This window comes from Homo sapiens, chromosome 17, assembly GCF_000001405.40.
Source record: "Homo sapiens chromosome 17, GRCh38.p14 Primary Assembly".
NCBI classification, from domain to species: Eukaryota; Metazoa; Chordata; class Mammalia; order Primates; family Hominidae; genus Homo; species Homo sapiens.
In genome coordinates, this window is record NC_000017.11 from 44,463,763 (window position 1) to 44,481,734 (window position 17,972).

The following is a 17,972-nucleotide window of genomic DNA, read 5'->3' on the forward strand; positions in this document are numbered from 1 at the left end:
AGAACGCAGTTGGTTGGTTTCCAACTAGGGAGAACTCAGAAGCTGAAATATTAGTATTTTGTTTTTAATACAAATGACTGGTATAAACAGAGTAACAAATGCAATGGAAACTTTAAGCCATACATTTTCCAGACCTTGATAGGAACCTGAGAAATAACCTCTCTGCTCAGAGAGCCCTCAAAAACCTCTGCTTTCATTTTATGTTTCATGGAGGTTAATTTTTCTTCTCTACCACTACATAAATTTCTTATTGCAGAGCAAAAGAGCCAGGGCAATCACCAGCTTCAGGGAGAATTTAAAAGAATAAAAATTAAATTCTGCTACTGAATGATTCTCTTTATAATACTGAAGCCAGAATACATTACTAAATAGCACAAAGAAAGCATACTCTGATATTTTGCATTCCTTTTACTCCACTCACCCATCACCTCCACCAAAAAAAAAATTTAAAACAGGCTGAGCCACACACAGTATGTTTGACTTGAAAGTTTCGATGACACAGCAGCTTACTCTTGCAAATTACTGGCAAATATAGAGGCTTAACAGTGACTTAAAATACAGTTATAGGACAAACAGACTACTCTAAGGGGAAAAAGGTAGTAGGGAGAAACCCAAGTACTTTTTTAAAAACACAACAAATACATTCAGGTACAAGATCTGCATCAGAAATGGTTTTCTTCCTTTTTCTCTGGTAAATGTAAACACTTACCCTGAAGAGATTTTCCCAATCCCTGGCCCAGCTTCCACCCATGTTTCTGGAGTAAGCGGTGTCCAATATTATCCTGACAGACAGAACAGAGAGACAAACCAAAAATATTCCAATAATATATTCTTCCCTTCCTAGAGACATTTAAACAGATGATGAGCAAGAGATACTTCTACATATATGCATGCAAAAAGGTGCTAATAATAGGGTAAATGTGCCCAATAAGAGGGACATTAATGTAAAAAGAAAAGCTGGCTAGTATTTTACATGGGAAGAACATATGGGGTAAGGGTCCTTTCTGATGGTGTGTTGGGCAACTTTTGTATATAACATTTTTAAATGGAGTAAAAGGGGAAAGGGAAAAGGGGAAGAATACATTTATGAAGTTTTAAAATAACACTAAAAAGCATAAAATCAAGGTACTTATACAGTCATATCCACCACCTAAACAGCACCACTTTAAGATTTTTTTTTTTTTAAAGAAAATCTACACTGTGTTTAGTTGTTTTGTTTATGTGTCAGGCTTTCATGATACAAAGTAAGTTATAAGTGTAAGACTGCCCCACCACTAGAAATGAAAAAACAATCAGAGCAAAATCCAGGCTAGACTTGATTGGTTTAAAAAAATAATATATATAATATAAATATTTAACTAGCATGCAGCCAATATTAAACTGAAAAAACAGTGAGGTTAGTAAAACAAGAAATTAAGTTGATTAAACAGAAAAATAAAATGAGCTCAAGCACAGACTGAGTGATGCATTTCAACATGTAGTCTAACAAAAATGCTAAGATGTTAGAATGAAACAGGCCTAGCAATAAGTTAACAGTAAAGAACCATTAGTGCATGTAGGGGTAGAAACCAACATACATAATGTCTCATCTTCCCAGGAGCACATTCGAAAAGGTATTTCAATGTAAACTGCATGAAAAAAATGCTACAAACAACAATTAAATGTCAGCTTTCGTTTAAGGGGTCAAGGTATTGGAAACATCTGCAGCCCTTTCTTTGTCCAATTCTTTGCTTTTTACAGTTATTGTGAAGTACCAAGACAAGGCTAAAATAAGCACTAACTGTATCAGAAAAAATGATCATATTCACCCAATGGACAACACTGAAAAATTCTAAACACAAAGTATTCTATATGTATTAAAATGTAATTTATAGTATTAATCCAGAAAAGATTAAAAGTCACAATATAAGTAATGTTAGCAGAAAACAAAGGTAAATCATTTGAAAATCCCATATTTCCTGAAATCAATTTATAAAGCTGACGAAACCACAAATTTCTGCATTAAAACCAAATATTGCACATTAAACTGTCTGGCATCTCCATATTCAATGATAAAGTGTTCTTTGAACTCATAGAGGAAAGAAAAACATTTTTTTACTGTTACCTTCCCTAACTAGAAGTTAGAAGAAGATTAAGCCTCCCGAATGCTCTGTTTGTTTGTTTGTTTAAGGACCATTTTCTTCTGTAAGTTTATGACAGCATGCAACCTGGAAAACTGGGCTAAACAGCTAATTATTTCATTGATGGGGGAAAACCAGGACTTTTTTTTTTCTGATACAGCATCTTGCTCTGCTGCCCAGGCTGGTGTACAGTGGTGCAATTATAGCTAACTGCAGCCTTGACCTCCTGGGCTCAAGCAATCCTCCCACCTCAGCCTGGGAGGTATGGGCGCACAACACTATGCCTGGATAATTTTTTTATTTTTTGTAGAGATGAGGTTTCACTATGTTGCCCACGATGATCTAGAACTCCTGGGCTCAAGCAATCCTCCCTCCTCAGCCTCTCAAAGTACTGGGATTACAGGCATGAACCCAGGATACTTTTCTAAAAGCAAAAACTGGAGGCAAATTATAACGAAAAATTTGTTTCTAAAACAAAACATATTGTTTCAAATATACATATAAAATCATTATGGTGCACAAAAGTGTGCTGCAAGTTATTTTTGCTCTATACCATTTGAAAGAATTAGAAACACTACTGATCCCAAGCACTGACTTCCACATTACTACACATCACAAAAATATAATATAACACTACTGGCTGCTGGGGCTTCTTCCCTTCCCCCCTCCTAACTGAACTGCCAGGAAAAACATTCCCTTACCCAGTGTTCAGTGTCTGACTATTTATAACTTTATTACCCCCTAAAACAGAAAAGATTAAAAGTCTCAATATAAGTAATGTTAGCAGAAAACAAAAAGGTAAACAGGCCCTTATTTTACTACTATGAAAACAAACTTACCTGTGCAGAAAATCCTTATTTCATATCATAATTCCTACAACTGAATAATTCTAGGAAGGACAAGGATAGCAGAATGACTTTAAGAGTATATGGTTTATCAGATAATTGTTTAATCTCTTAACAGACTCATAACTATATTTGGCACCAAGATTTAGGCATTAAACAATGCTGACAAAAATTGTTGCTCCCCCCCCCTCCATTTTGTTGTTGTTGTTGTTGTTTCTTTTTTAAAGAAAACTCAATCTTTGGCTAAGTGGAGATGAGACATTATGCTGATTGTGTTATATTATGAATGCACTCAAATAAACAGACAGATGAAGCAGTATGCTATTTCCAAAAGCAGTGCAAGTGGAGTGAAAGCATTTCCATACGAACCTGGCTTTAAAAACTGGGCTGTCAAAAGAACAGTTAAATGTAACACAAAGTAAGAAACTGTCCAATCACTAATGGTCGTTTTTTTTTTTGTCTTGTTTTCAATTCACTGCTTGCAAGTAATGTATTTATTAAAGAGTGAAAGCATAAGTAAATTCACGAGTCAAGACCAGCTGAGAGATTCAAGAGCAGCGTGTTGTGACTGACAACAGTGAAAGGAAAAGCAAATGTTAAAGGGAGAGGGAGAAAAAAAAGAAAAAATTAAGGTTATACACATTAGCACCACTTTTACAAAACCACTCAAGAGGATGGCTGTCACCTTCTCAGAAAAAAATCATTGATAGAAAATGGTAGTGGCATTTCTCTTCTAAAACTTTAGGTTAAAACTGTTCTTTAATTAAATCCACTTTCTCAGGGACTATAATAAAATATTTAACTTGCCACTCTAAGTCCTTCCAATCATAACAAAGGCAATAGAAACAATAGACACATCTCCCAGAATCTCTCCTCCCCTCACCAACCTCCTAGGGTAAATGAATGACCAACACAGAAAAACTGGACCTTTCCTATCATTTCAAACTACCTGCTTTTGGAGGAAAAAAGGCAGCTCTGTGACTCTGCAGGAAGGGCTAGTATTCAGTATGGTCTCCCTTCCTATCAGTAAAAGAAAAAAAGGTTTTATAAACACTCGTCAAAAATCCAATAGGCTTAAGGATGACGGCTAACACAAGGAGGCACACCAAAATAATTTATAACAAAGTAAAACAAACCAGACTTGTCTACCTCTGAAATGATCAAAACTATCTCTGTGAAAGAACAAGAAACTCAATAACCAGTCTTTGGGAAACAAGCAATCTATTCTCTCTGTTAACGACTGTAATTTTTGCAAATTATTCCAATTATTCCAGGATTTTTTTTTTTTTTTTGAGACGGAGTCTCACTCTGTAGCTCAGGCTGGAGTGTAACGGCAATCTCAGCTCACTACAATCTCCACCTCCTGAGTAGCTGGGACTACAGACACGCACCACCACATCCAGCCAATTTTTTTTTTGTATTTTTAGTAGAGACAGGGTTTCACCACGTTGGCCAGGCTGGTCTCAAACTCCTGACCTCAAGTGATCCGCCTGCCTTGGCTTCCCCAAGTGTTGAGATTACAGGCATAAGCCACCACGACTGGTCCATGGATGCTATTTACAACACCAAGTTGGCACAAGTAGCTTACGGCTCAAACAGGTAATCTAGACAGAACAAGGGCAATGAACATTAAATTTCTTTGTTCCTTTTTTTTTTTTTTTTTTTTTTTTTTTTTTGTGAGACAGGGTCTCGCTCTGCCACCCAGGCTGGGGTGCAGTAGCACAGTCACAGCTCACCGCATCCTTGACCTGCAAGGCTCAAGTGATCCTCCCATCTCAGCCTCCCAAAGTGCTGGGATTACAGGTGTGAGCCACCATGCCCAGCCAATTTATTTCCAAAGTAGTAATTATTTTTAAAAATAATTTTAAAAAAAAGTAACTCTACTTAATTTCAGTTACTATAATAATGACTAAAAATCTTTTGGTTTTTGTTTTTTAAATATATAATTTGGGGTTTAATTATAATCTCATAGAACCAAAAATAAATTACAGAAATTTTTTTCATTTTAAAAACTCTGGTTAACAACAAAGATACATGATAGAGGTAGGCTGCTTATAATTTTTTTCTTCTAAAGTCAACTTGATATAATTTAAATGTACATTTAAGAACTGCAAAGAAATCCTAACTTTAATAAATAAGGCAAAGCTTATTTATTATGTAGAAAAGCTGGTTTTCTACATAATTCAGAGTTCTCACAAACCACCTATTTGTTTTCTCTCTCTGCTCAAGACCCCAAAATGGTGGCTGTGCGGCCTGTTCTTTGGTTGGAAATGAAGTTCTTCTTCTAATTCTGGTTAAACCATGTAGCTAAACTGAAAACAAACTTTTTCACCTAGATTACCTCAGTTGGCCTTTTTTTCTCCCCCTATTTCTACACATAAATATATCATTAAAATGCTAATTTTTATCATTTGTTCTTCTCTAATAAACACGTGAGAAAAGGAATATAATTTTTAAGCGGGAAGATCTTTGACAACAAGAAGTCTGTATTATAAACTACCAATATGCTGAAAACACAATACCAGCAATGTAAAAATACTTCATTATTAACTGTTTCAGCCATTCCTCAACATTTTATTAATTAAATACCAAGTAGAAACTTTCTGCTCCATGAAGCTGTATGCCACCATAGTAACAATGATCATTTTGGTAACAGCACCACCAATACACATGTATGACGGGAGCCTGCCAAAACACAGGAAAAAATTTACTTTATTGTATGAAGCTGGCTGTAAGTTTTTACAGTAGGAAACGGCCTATTATGTCTCAAGAGAAAACCATGCTACAGGTATGTCCATGACTGGATGAATACTAATTCTATACTGAATTTTGTTTTAGTTGACAGCCACATTCAATTTACATCATTTAGCCCATTTTCAACAGTGACAAAATAGTAAGTCTCTTGAGTGGATTGTAAGCTTTGCTGATTGTGTATTAAAGACTATAAGCAAGAACCAATGCTACTAGGTGAACCCATGCAAACAAGTTGTAAAAATTCCCGAAACAAAAAAACTCTATAGCTCACTACAGATGACACAATGAAGACTAGAGAGAAAAGCCATATAGTAATGCTACACCATTCAGCTCCAAGAAGCACATTATTTCTAGTGCAGTCCACATATGGTCACTGCTAAATGTCAAATCAGCAGTCTTATAAAGAATTACAGTTTGGAACTAGTGGAGTCCACAGATCTAGACAGATATGCAACATCACAAAACCCAATTATACATATACTTCCAAATCCTTAAGATGCGCAAACTAAACATCAGCAACTGGAGTTTGAAGCTTACACTACATTTTTAAACCTATTAGGTCATCCTGACAACCATAAAGAAAGAATTTTAATCAGTCAGGTAGAGCAAGGACCGACTAGCGGCTGATGGGTAGTTGCACTTCCAACCACAACAGTAACAACATGTTTTAAGTCTATGATGCATGCATTCTGCCTTCTATATAGCTTAAAGTCATTCTCCCATCTGATCCCTCATCTTTTTTTGTTTGTTTGTTTTTGGAGATCGAGTCTCGCTCTGTCACCCAGGCTGGAGTGCAGTGGCACGATCTTGGGTTCAAGCGATTCTCCTGCCTCAGCCTCCTGAGTAGCTGGGACTACAGGCGTGTGCCACCACACCCGGCTAAGTTTTGTATTTTTAGTAGACATGGGGTTTCACCGTGTTAGCCAGAATGGTCTATCTCCTGACCCTGTGATCCACCCACCTCGGCCTCCCAAAGTGCTGGGATTATAGGTGTGAGCCACTGCACCCAGCGCTTTTTTTTTTTTTTTTTTTTGAGACGGAGTCTCGCTCTGTCACCCAGGCTGGAGTACAGTGGCGTGATCTCGACTCACTGCAACCTCTGCCTCCCAGGTTCAAGCAATCCTCCTGCCTCAGCCTCCTGAGTAGCTGGGTAATCCCAGCACATGCACAGGCATGTGCCACCACGTCTGGCTACTTTTTGTATTTTTAGTAGAGACAGGGTTTCACCATGTTGGTCAGGCTGTTCTCGAACTCCTGACCTCGTCATCTGCCCGCCTCAGCATCCCAAAGTGCTGGGATTACAGGCGTGAGCCCCTGCGCCCAATTCCTCATCTTCTAACTATGATAAAGGTCATAAAGGACCGTGTATCCTAAAAAACACCAATTAATTCTTCTGTGATTGAATCCTAGACGGAGCTATGGCTTTAGATCAAGCTTTGTTTTGTAAATATTTTGTCTTTAAGTAAGTGGAGGTTATAATTATAACATTTGAGACCTAAATATCTCATAAAGCAATAACAATTTTTAAAATTCAAATTCAAAGCTTCTCGTAATAGGGATAAAATGTTCACACTTTTCAACTTGTTTTTAATAGAGATAATCAAGTTGTTTAGCAATTCTCATATAATTTTCTTAAAAAGATATTTCATTCTTGAGGAAAAATCTCATTGAAAGATATCTGGTTGGTTGAAGCAAATAAGGGAAAATTAAACTTCAAAAAATATTATTAAATGCTTTACAAATACTGGATTTTGATATATTTTCAACATTTACCTAATAAAATTGAAATACCAATATCTCACTAACAAATCTAAGCTTCGGAAGTTCACTAAAAGCATAATACATTATTGCATCTTCATGTCTCATTTCCCATCTTGCTGGTTTGCATCAAATTTAGCCTACTACAAAATAAAAAGACCTTAATCCTATACTCACAATAACCCTTCACACAGGCATATTCTTGGCACAAACCTGTGCAGAGACCTCCACGGTTACCAGCTGCTGCAGATTACCTTTGGTTAAAAAAAAATGACTAGACCTTTAGCTCCTGCAATGATCTGTAGACTCCCAAAGCTGCATATTTTCAGCCACTTTTGAGTTGCATGCTGTAGCAAAACAGTCAGCACCTCTCAATAGATATTGCTGCAGAGAAAGATTTTAATTCAGCACTCTTTCTGTGTTAGAAGTAACACCATTTTCCCCTAAAAACAAAACAGCTTAATATAGCCAGCCAGCCATGTAATTAAATATTTACTTATTATTTAGTGGGCATTCCTCAGGTGATAAGGGACTTCTTTTGTTTGGTGGGAGGGAGGGAACACTACCTACTTTGATGCCAATCACTGTAGGAGTTTCTCTTAAAACTTAAAATTTTCTGTGACCAAAAAAAGTAAAAAAAAAAAAAAAAAGTTGAAAAAAGAGAAAAACACTTAAAATTTTACTCACAAATGATCAGGCAACAGAAATAAGATCCCTCTTATCTTGTGTGTCAATACTTCTTTTTTTTTTTCTTATTTTTTCTTGCATCTTTGTTTATTCTCCCAGATCCTGTGCCCTACTTCTACCTAATACAATGTAGGCCATGAAGTTCTCTCCTACAACCTAAACTATCTCATCACAAATAATGCATATATTTATCTTTCAGAAGTAAATTTTCATTAGAAGTGTAATTACTAATATACATTTCTGAACATTCATTTATTTAAAAAAATTAAATATCCAGCCTGAGTACTATATACTATTTGCTATTTTAAGTGAAGAAGGTAGCACTACTTAATAAATAAGGCATATTATCAATTCTACTCCCACTGAATGAGATTATTCAACAATGATTACTCAATTAGACTGCCTTCTGATACTGTTCTCGCTATATGTGGCAGAAAAAGTCCTGGACATTATGAGAGGTAAAATAGCATTAGCCTCATGTGCCATAGGAATGAAATTTCCAAAAATATTTCAGTGTAGCCCTCTAGGCTTAAAATATGTTAAATATCATTTAATTTAGTGGTTTAAAAAATATTTGTTAAGTATCGTAATAATGAATACTAGGTTGCAAATTTCATCTAAATTTACTGCTACTGTTGAGTATCCACAGAATTATAGCTTGTGTAAGACAATTAACCAACCATGCACCTTGTAGAATGTGGTACTGGGGAGCTGATTCTGACAGCTCTGTCTTAAACTTAGACCCTCCTGGTTTTTTTTGTTTTTGTTTTTTTATTTGTTTGTTTTTGAGATGGAGTCTCGCTCTGTCACCCAGGCTAGAGTGCAGTGGCACAATCTCGGCTCACTGCAATCTCCGCCTCCCAGGTTCAAGCCATTCTCCTGCATCAGCCTCCCGAGTAGCTGGGACTACAGGTGCCTACCACTGCGCCCGGCTAATTTTTGTATTTTTAGTAGAGACAGGGTTTCACCATCTTGGCCAGGCTGGTCTCGAACTCCTGACCTCGTGATCCACCTGTCTCGGCCTCCCAAAGTGCTGGGATTACAGGCTTGAGCCACCGCACCCGGCCAGACCCTCCAGTTTTGTAAATTGAAATGGAAAAATTAAATTAGTTTGCAAATACAAGATACTGTCTAGCCTACAGATTTCATTACAAAATTCTGCCTTGTCATAATCCCCAAAATAATTCAGAACAAGGCACAAACCAGTGATTTTTTTTTTTTTTTTTGAGACAGAGTCTCGCTCTGTTGCCCAGGCTGGAGTGCAGAGGCACGATCTTGGCTCACTGCAAGCTCTGCCTCCCGGGTTCATGCCATTCTCCCGCCTCAGCCTCCCGAGTAGCTGGGACTACAGGCGCCTGCCACCATGCCCGGCTAATTTTTTACATTTTTTGTAGAGATGGGGTTTCACCGTGTTAGCCAGGATGGTCTCGATCTCCTGACCTCGTGATCCACCCACCTCGGCCTCCCAAAGTGCTGGGATTACAGGCGTTGAGCCACTGTGCCCGGCCTAAAATCAGTGATTTTTAACTTAGCAAAGTGGGCTTGGCATTTTATCCTTATGTCAAAACACAAGACTAGGCTTTCAGTGAAATATCAGATGAGAATTCTCCCTCTGCAGCATTATCACATGCGTCATCAATTACTGCCATGCCTAAGTCTAGCATCATGCCAGCACATTAAGACAGAAGGTACTATATGCAGTGTTCACTGGACCAGAAAGACAGAAATAAGAAAGGGAGGTGGGGAGAAAGAAACCCTAGAGAAGAAATTAAAAAAAGGCAGACCGTGCAATACAAACCAGATCATGGCTGCTTAGCTAATATGGGCCAACTGCTGTGGAAGAAAAATGTCGAACACCCCAAGTTGTGTAAATTTCTGTAAACATCTAAACACACATACAAACACACACAACACCAACCTAATTAGGAACATAAATATATGTTGATCCTTTACTATGTTGCAGTTTTGAAAATAAAAGCTAAAGTTAAAATATCCGTATTCTCTAAATTGCCTTCTTATTTTCCTGAGGAAGAAGCTAGTGTTTCTTAAGGGGAAGTGGGGGGCTTGTCATGATGGTTATAAAGATTAAGATTCCCTTTTTGACTTTTTTTCCCCACTCAAGTTTTACCAATAACTCACCGAAATCCTTATTAAATATGTACACTTAAGCACAAATAGTAACTGCTGACAATAATGACAAGTTTAGACATTTTAACAATAGACTGTGTTATTTAAAAATAACGGGTTTTTCAAAGTGAAAATAATGTTCAAAAATTAAGAAGTTTTTTTAAAACTAAGAGCCAGGTAAATAAATCTCCTTGTTCTATTGCTTGATATCATCAGTGTCCAAAACTAAGCAGTGTGAAAAGATAGAAATAATCAGCTTTTGACAAAAACCACATTTCTTAAGCTACAGAGACCAAACTTGCCATGTTTCACAACAGTCTGGTAAATAAAACATATTACTCCTTAAATGTTTTTAATATAACATTTAAAAAAAAATTTCCATACATATTCTACTTATGTAGGAACATTTCATACATAATTATATTGCCCAAGAAAGGTGAAGCTATAAAGGATCAAAATACATTTTACTCCTTTATTCAATTCACAAAATGCTAAACTTTAACTTGCTACCTTCAACAAAGTATCGGTATGGGCCAAAAAGATATTTTTCCATTGAAATTCTAATGTGTTTCTAGATTTTTTTGGACTGATTTCCCAACATATTAAATATTAGATTACATCCCAAGCTTTAATTGATTACTGTATGGCATGCAAGAAAACAACTCTAAACTGTACTATTGGTTATTAATAAGTTTAACTTCACTCACATCAAGTGTCACACGAACACTACCTAACTAACTAGCTAAGACCCGAAATTAAGCACTGATTATCTTACCGATTCTATAGGCTTGTCAAGTGACGCTTGTTCAATTTCCAAGTGTCCTTCCTCATACTGATCAAAGTGATTACCCTGAAAAAAGATGATTACAGTTATTTTTCAAAAGCAGTTAAGTGTCAAATCTATTAACAGCTTAACCAAACTAAGGATTATTTTTAACTTTTCTTTTTTTTTTTTAACCTAAAAGGACACTGCAATCGTTCATTTTCAGTACACAATCAAAACCACACCACAAATTCCAACTTTTTAAAAATTTATAAAAATGGGTCAGGCGTGGTGGCTCACGCCTGTAATCCCAGCACTTCAGGAGGCTGAGGCAGGTGGATCACCTGAGGTCAGGAATTCGAGACCAGCCTGGCCAAAATAATGAAACTCCATCTCCACTAAAATTACAAAAAATTAGCTGGCTGTGGTGGTGTGCACCTGTAGTCCCAGCTACTCAGGAGGCTGAGGCAGGAGAACTGCTTGAACCCGGGAGGTGGGGGTTGCAGTGAGTTGAGACTGGGCCACCACACTCCAGCCTGGGCAACAGAACGAGACTCCATCTCAAAAAAGAAAAAAAAAAAAAGAAAAAACTTTATAAAAGGCCGGGCGCGGTGGCTCACGCCTGTAATCCTAGCACTTTGGGAGGCCGAGGCAGGTGGATCACGAGGCCAGGAGATTTAGACCATCCTGACACGGTGAAACCCCATCTCTACTAAAAATACAAAAAATTAGCTGGGCGTGGTGGCAGGTGCCTGTAGTCCCAGCTACTTGGGAGGCTGAGGCAGGAGAATGGCGTGAACCCGGGAGGCGGAGCTTGCAGTGAGCCGAGATCGCACCACTGCATTTCAGCCTGGGAGACAGAGCGAGACTCCATCTCAAAAACAAACAAACAAACAAACAAACAAAAACTTTATAAAAATGTATTAGAGCTGGGCACAGTGGCTCACACCTGTAATCCCAGCACTTTGGGAGGCTGAGGCGGGAAGATCACTTGAGGACAAGAGTTTAAGACCAGCCTGGGCAATACAGTGAGACCCTGTTTCTACAAAAAAAAATTTTTTAATTAGCCACACATTGTGGTGTGAGCCTGTAGTCCCAGCTACTTAGGGGGCTGTGATGGGAGGATCACTTAGGCCAAGGAGGTCGAAGCTGCAGTGAGCTGTGATCAAGCCACTGCACTCCAAGCCTGGGGGACAGAACGAGATCCTATTTCAAACAAAACAAAACACAACTTATTAGGAATCTAGGCCTAGTAATCTGAACTTTTAGTCTCCTAACAAGTGTTGAAATTGTAAACTAAAACACTATCAACCATTTGGGACACCAACTCTTTTAGACTGACTACATTAGGAAGACTACAGAGTCTTACAAACAAAGAGCCACGCTGTTTTACCTTTTTTTTTTTTGAGACAAAGTCTCACTCTGTAGCCCAAGCTGGAGTGCAGTGTCACAATCTCAGCTCACCGCAACCTCTGCCTCCCAGGCTCAAGTGGTATTCGTGCCTCAGCCTCCCAAGTAGCTGGGACTACAGGTGTGTGCCACCATGCCTGGCTAATTTTTTGTATTTTAGTAGAGTCAGGGTTTCACCATGTTGCCCAGGGTAGTCTCAAACTCCTGAGCTCAGGCAATCCGCCCACCTCAGCCTCCCAAAGTGCTGGGATTACAGGCGTGAGCCACCGCACCCAGCCTGTTTTACTTTTTTATATGCAATATTGCATTAAATCTTTAATAATGAAGAAAACAAGTCATAGTAATGAAAATAAAACCTATTTTTAAATAAATACTGCTCAATCTGGTAACATTATTTTAAACTAAATCTGCTAAGACATTAAACTTTAAATCAACTGATACCTCCCGGCTTTTCAAGAAATTAAAAATAAGCTCTTGACAGTTTCCAAAGCAACTATTCCTCAAGATGATCTGCAAAGGAGATAAACATGCTTTATAATGATGTATTTGATCATAATCAAGCAAGTTGTCACTGCAACTAAAATAAGTAAAAACAGTTTCAACAAATGATAGCTGCAGACAACTAAGAAGTTATCTCTAATCATAGTTTTCACAGATCTCCTTGCTTCATCAGGAAGGAATAGCTCATAATTTGCTTTTAAATCAAAATATCAATTTTCTGGTTCCCTTCTTGTCTTAAAATATAGGGCATCAGGATTTGTGAGTCCCACAATGACCTAAATCAAAAGACTAAAGACTTCAGTCTTTTGGTCTAGCCTAAACGAATTCAGTGTGTGGAAAGATATGATAACTTGAATGTTAACCTAACAAAAAGTTACTTTGCCTTTTCAAGGTAAAATTAAAATTCTAATTCAATAAATAAAATCTAATGATGGGGAGCTCTAACATGTAATTTGCCAAATTGTATAGTAAGTATTACGTTTCTCTCACTAGACTGTGAAGTCCTTGAGGACAAGAACTGAGTCTTGTTTATCTCTTACACCTAATAACATGGCAACCAAACACTAGGGAACAATTAGGTGCTAAAATTGTGTGGCAGTGATGAACAAGTTCTAGAACAAGATGGTGGTGGTGGTAGTCGTACAATATTGTTAATGTACTTAATGCTACTGAACTGTATCCTTTTTTTTAAGAGAAGGGGGTCTCACTATGTTGCCCAGGCTGCCTTCAAACTCCTGGGCTCAAGGAGCCCAGCCTCAGCCTCTTGACCAGTTGGAACTACAGGCGCCACACCAGTACACTTGGCTTGGACTATATACTTTAAAATAGTTAAAGTGATAAATTTTATGTTACACATATTTTACCACAATAAAAATAATAAAAATAAAATTGTATGGCAAAGTCTATCCAAATAAAGAAAGGGAAAAAAAAGAAGAAAAATGGAATAGCAAGGGACAGGAGGAGTATGTTTTCCAAAGACAAAAAAAAAAAGGACTTAAAAGTGGGTATTTCAGGAATGAAAAAAAGCAGTCATGAACAAATGATTTTAAAAAATTAAAAACAGCTATTAATCCTGAAAGTCTTTTTGTTTTGTTTTGTTTGAGATGGAGTCTTGGTCTGTCGCCCAGGCTAGAGCGCAGTGATGCCATCTCAGCTCACTGCAAACAAGGCCTCCCAGATTCAAGGGATTCTCCCGCCTCAGCCTCCGGAGTAGCTGGGATTACAGGCACACGCCACCACACCTGGCTAATTTTTGTATTTTTAGTAGAGATGGGGTGGGGGGTGGGGGGGTTCACACCATGTTGGCCAGGCTGATCTTGAACTCCTGACCTCAAGTGATCTGCCCGCCTCAGCCTCCCAAAGTGCTGAGATTACAGATGTGAGCCACCAAGCGCAGCCTGAAAGTCTGTCTTCAATTTACCTCCAAACACCTGCTTCTTGGCATTTTAATTTCTACTGCAACACTCAACATTTTAAGTTACTTTAAAGGTGTTAATTGCAAAGTACTTCTAAATTACTAAATAATAAATATCCAAATACTGAGATTAACTCAAACCTCATTATAGTACAGAACACCAATGTACAGCTGAATATCGATTCTTTCACTCTACAGGTCTATACAATTTAATGATACAGGAATAAACCAGGCACAGTGGCTCATGCCTGTAATTCCAGCACTTCGGGAGGCTGAAGTGGGAGCACTGCTGGAGGCCAGGAAGTTGGACATCAACTTGGGCAACATAGCGAGCAAGACCTTGTCTATACAAAAAAAACTAGATGGGCGTGGTGGTGTGTACCTATAGTCCTAGTCCTATAGTCCTAGCTACTAGGGAGGCTGAGGCAGGAGGATCACTTCAGCCCAGGGGTTCAAGACTGCTGTGAGCTGACTGAGCTACCACATTCAAGACTGGGTAACAAACCAAGAGTCTGTCTCAAAAACAAAAAAAAACAAAAAACAAAACAAAAAAACCCTCATCCTAACAATAACTATGTACTACTTTTTTAAAGTAATTAAACCTTTAGTTTGTTTAGAGACAGAGTCTCTCTCTGTCACCCAAGCTAGAGTGCAGTGGAACCATCATAGCTTACTGTAACCTTAACTCCTGGGCTCAAGTAATCCTCCCACCTCAGCCTCCCAAGTAGCTAGGGCAACAGGCATACACCATGACGCCCGGCTGTTTTTTATTTTGATTTAGATGGTCTCAAACTCCTGGGCTCAAGTGATCCTCCTGCCTCTGCCTCTAAAAGTTCTGGGATTACAGGCCTAAGCCATCAAGCCTGGCCTAGAGTACTTAATTTAGGACAACTATGTGATGGTTTTAAACAAAAAGAGAATTGCCCCAAAATATATCACTATCAAAGATGACATTTAAAGCACAAACACAGATTATTAGAGAACTACCAAGTAAGTCTACAAAAAAGAAAATGGGCACCTTCTAGGAAAAACCATTTCAGCTCATCCTTGCTGCATGAAAAATCACACAAGTTTTTCCAAAAAGATAATGAATCATTAGCAAAATCATCTTTTAATCTTAGGCTTAAAGTTATTTTAGAAAACCCTTCTGTAGATTACAAACTACTGTCAGCAAATGCCAGGTTCCAAATAAGACATTTAACAAATTTCTAAATACAGTTAGCTAATTAACTTTTCAAATCATTCTGGATCTGTCAGATGCAATACAAATCAGGATTAATAATATAGACAGTTCAACAGAGAAATTTTAATGTTTTCAATTAACGGTGCTAGAACTAGGTGTCCATATACAAAACAAAAGAGCTTCAATCCATACTTTGAATAAAAAAAGAACCCAAAATGCACTGCAGACCTAAATGTAAAACTGAAAATGATATATTCTAGAAGAAAAAATACAAGAGAAAAATCTTTGTGACCACAGGCTAGGCAAATATTTTCGTAGAGACAACCCCAAAGCACAATCAATATATGGAATAAAAAATTGATGGCTGGGCAAGGTGGCTCACGCCTGTAATCCCAGCACTTTGGGAGGTCGAGGCGGGTAGATCACAGGGTCAGGAGTTCGAGACCAGCCTGACCAACATGGTGAAACCCTGTCTCTACTAAAAATACAAAAATTAGCCGGGCATGGTGGTGCGTGCCTGTAATCCCAGCTACCCAGGAGGCTGAGGCTGGAGAACTGCTTGAACCCAGGAGGCAGAGGTTGCAGTGAGCCGAGACTGCGCCACTGCACTCCAGCTTGGCGACAGAGCAAGACTCCGTCTCAAAAAAAAAAAAAAATTGATAGGCTGGACTGGGAGAAAATATTTACAAATCTTATTCCTTTTCAAAAAAAAATCAGAAACCAATGAATGCTGAACAAATCCATACCTGATTAAAAACCTGTATCCAGAAAATACACAAAATTCTCAAAAGAGGGGAAAAAAACAACCCAATTTTTAAAGTGGGCATAAGATTTAAACATTTCATCAATGACATACAGGTGGCAAGTAAGCACATGAAAACACATTCAACATTATTAACCATTAAGGAAATACAAACTAGAATCACAATGTATTACCACCACATGCCTATTAAAATGGCATTTAAAAAAAAATGCGGCAGGGCGCGGTGGCTCATGCCTGTAATCCCAGCAATCTGGGAGGCCGAGGCAGGAGAATCACGAGGTCAGGAATTCAAGACCAGCCTGGCCAACATGGTGAAACTCCGTCTCTACTAAAAAATACAAAAATTGGCCAGGCGCGGTGGTTCACGTCTATAATCCCAGCACTTTGGGAGGCCAAGGAGGGCAGATCACCTGAGGTCGGGAGTACAAGACCAGCCTGACCAACATGGAGAAACCTCGTCTCTACTAAAATAAAAATAAAAAATTAGCCAGGCGTGGTGGCTCATGCTTGTAATCCCAGCTACTCGGGAGGCTGAGGCAGGAGAATCGCTTGAACCCGGAAGGAGGAGGTTGCAGTGAGCTGAGATCGCGCCATTGCACTCCAGCCTGGGCAACAAGGGCAAAAAAAAAAAAAATTAGCTGGGTACGATGACAGGCGCCTGTAATCCCAGCTACTCAAGAGGCTGAGGCAGGAGAATCGCTTGAACCCGGGCGGCAGAGGTTGCAGTAAGCCGAGATCACGCCACTGCACTCCAACCTGGGTGACAGAGTGAGACTCCAGTCTCAAAAACAAAAACAAAAACAAAAAAAAACAACCTAATACCACTTCATTTGTTTGGAGAGACAGTCTCTCTCAGTTGTCCAGGCTGGAATGCAGTGGCACCATCATGGCTCACTCCAGCCTCAACCCTCCTTGGGGCTTAAGCAATCCTTCCCATTTCAGGCTCCCGAGTAGCTGGGACTAGAGGTGCACGCCACTACACCAAGCTAATTTTTGTATTGTTGGTAGAGATGGGGTTTTGCCATATTGCCCAGACTGGTCTCGAACTCTTGGGCTCAATCTGCCCATCTTAGCCTCCCGAAGTGCTGGGATTACAGGCGTGAGCCCTCCTCTGATAAAATTTCAGACGAGCAACTTTCATAGATTACTGATGGGAACATAAAATAGTACACTCAACTTAAAACACCTGTCTGTGAATGTTTTTAACAACTTTATTTGTACGCTAGAAACTATCCAAATGTCAACTGAGAAATGAACTTTAAAAACTATGGTATACCCCATACAATGAGATATTACTTGGCACTAAAAAGAAACAAATTATTCATACAAGTAGTAACAGAGATGAATCTCAAATTAATTATGCTAAGTGAAAAGAAGCCATACTCAAAAGGCTTCCATATATAGGACATTCTGGAAAAAACAAAGCTAAAGAAAAGAAAAAGATCAGTGATTGTCAGAAGCTATACACTGGTTGTTGTGGTGGCTGCACTATGATGCGTTTTGTCAATACTCAAATTGTACTTTTTTTTCACCGTCTTATGGTGCTGATGAACTGTACATGTAAATGGGCGAATTTCACTGTATCTTAATTGTACTTAAATTTTTTGAAAAATGGTGAAAACAGGCTAAATATTTCTGTATTTCACC

The 17,972-nt window shown here is 38.4% G+C and overlaps 1 protein-coding gene across 13 annotated transcripts in view; it reads right to left on the reverse strand.

The window, feature by feature from the left end:
• Positions 1 to 17,972, reverse strand: part of GPATCH8 (G-patch domain containing 8) — a 108,126-nt gene that overhangs the window by 68,482 nt on the left and 21,672 nt on the right. For 3 of the 13 annotated variants that reach the window (XM_047435672.1, XM_047435673.1, XM_047435674.1), the window contains exons 1-2: positions 3,335 to 8,100; positions 710 to 782 (exon numbers count right to left, since the gene is read on the reverse strand). Coding sequence is in view for 3 of the 13 variants with exons in the window: in NM_001002909.4 (NP_001002909.1) it covers positions 710 to 782; positions 11,067 to 11,141 (148 nt within the window). In the remaining 10 variants the exon portion in view is untranslated. The other 10 variants (NM_001002909.4, XM_011524557.2, NM_001304942.2 and 7 more) reach the window with 8 other exon arrangements.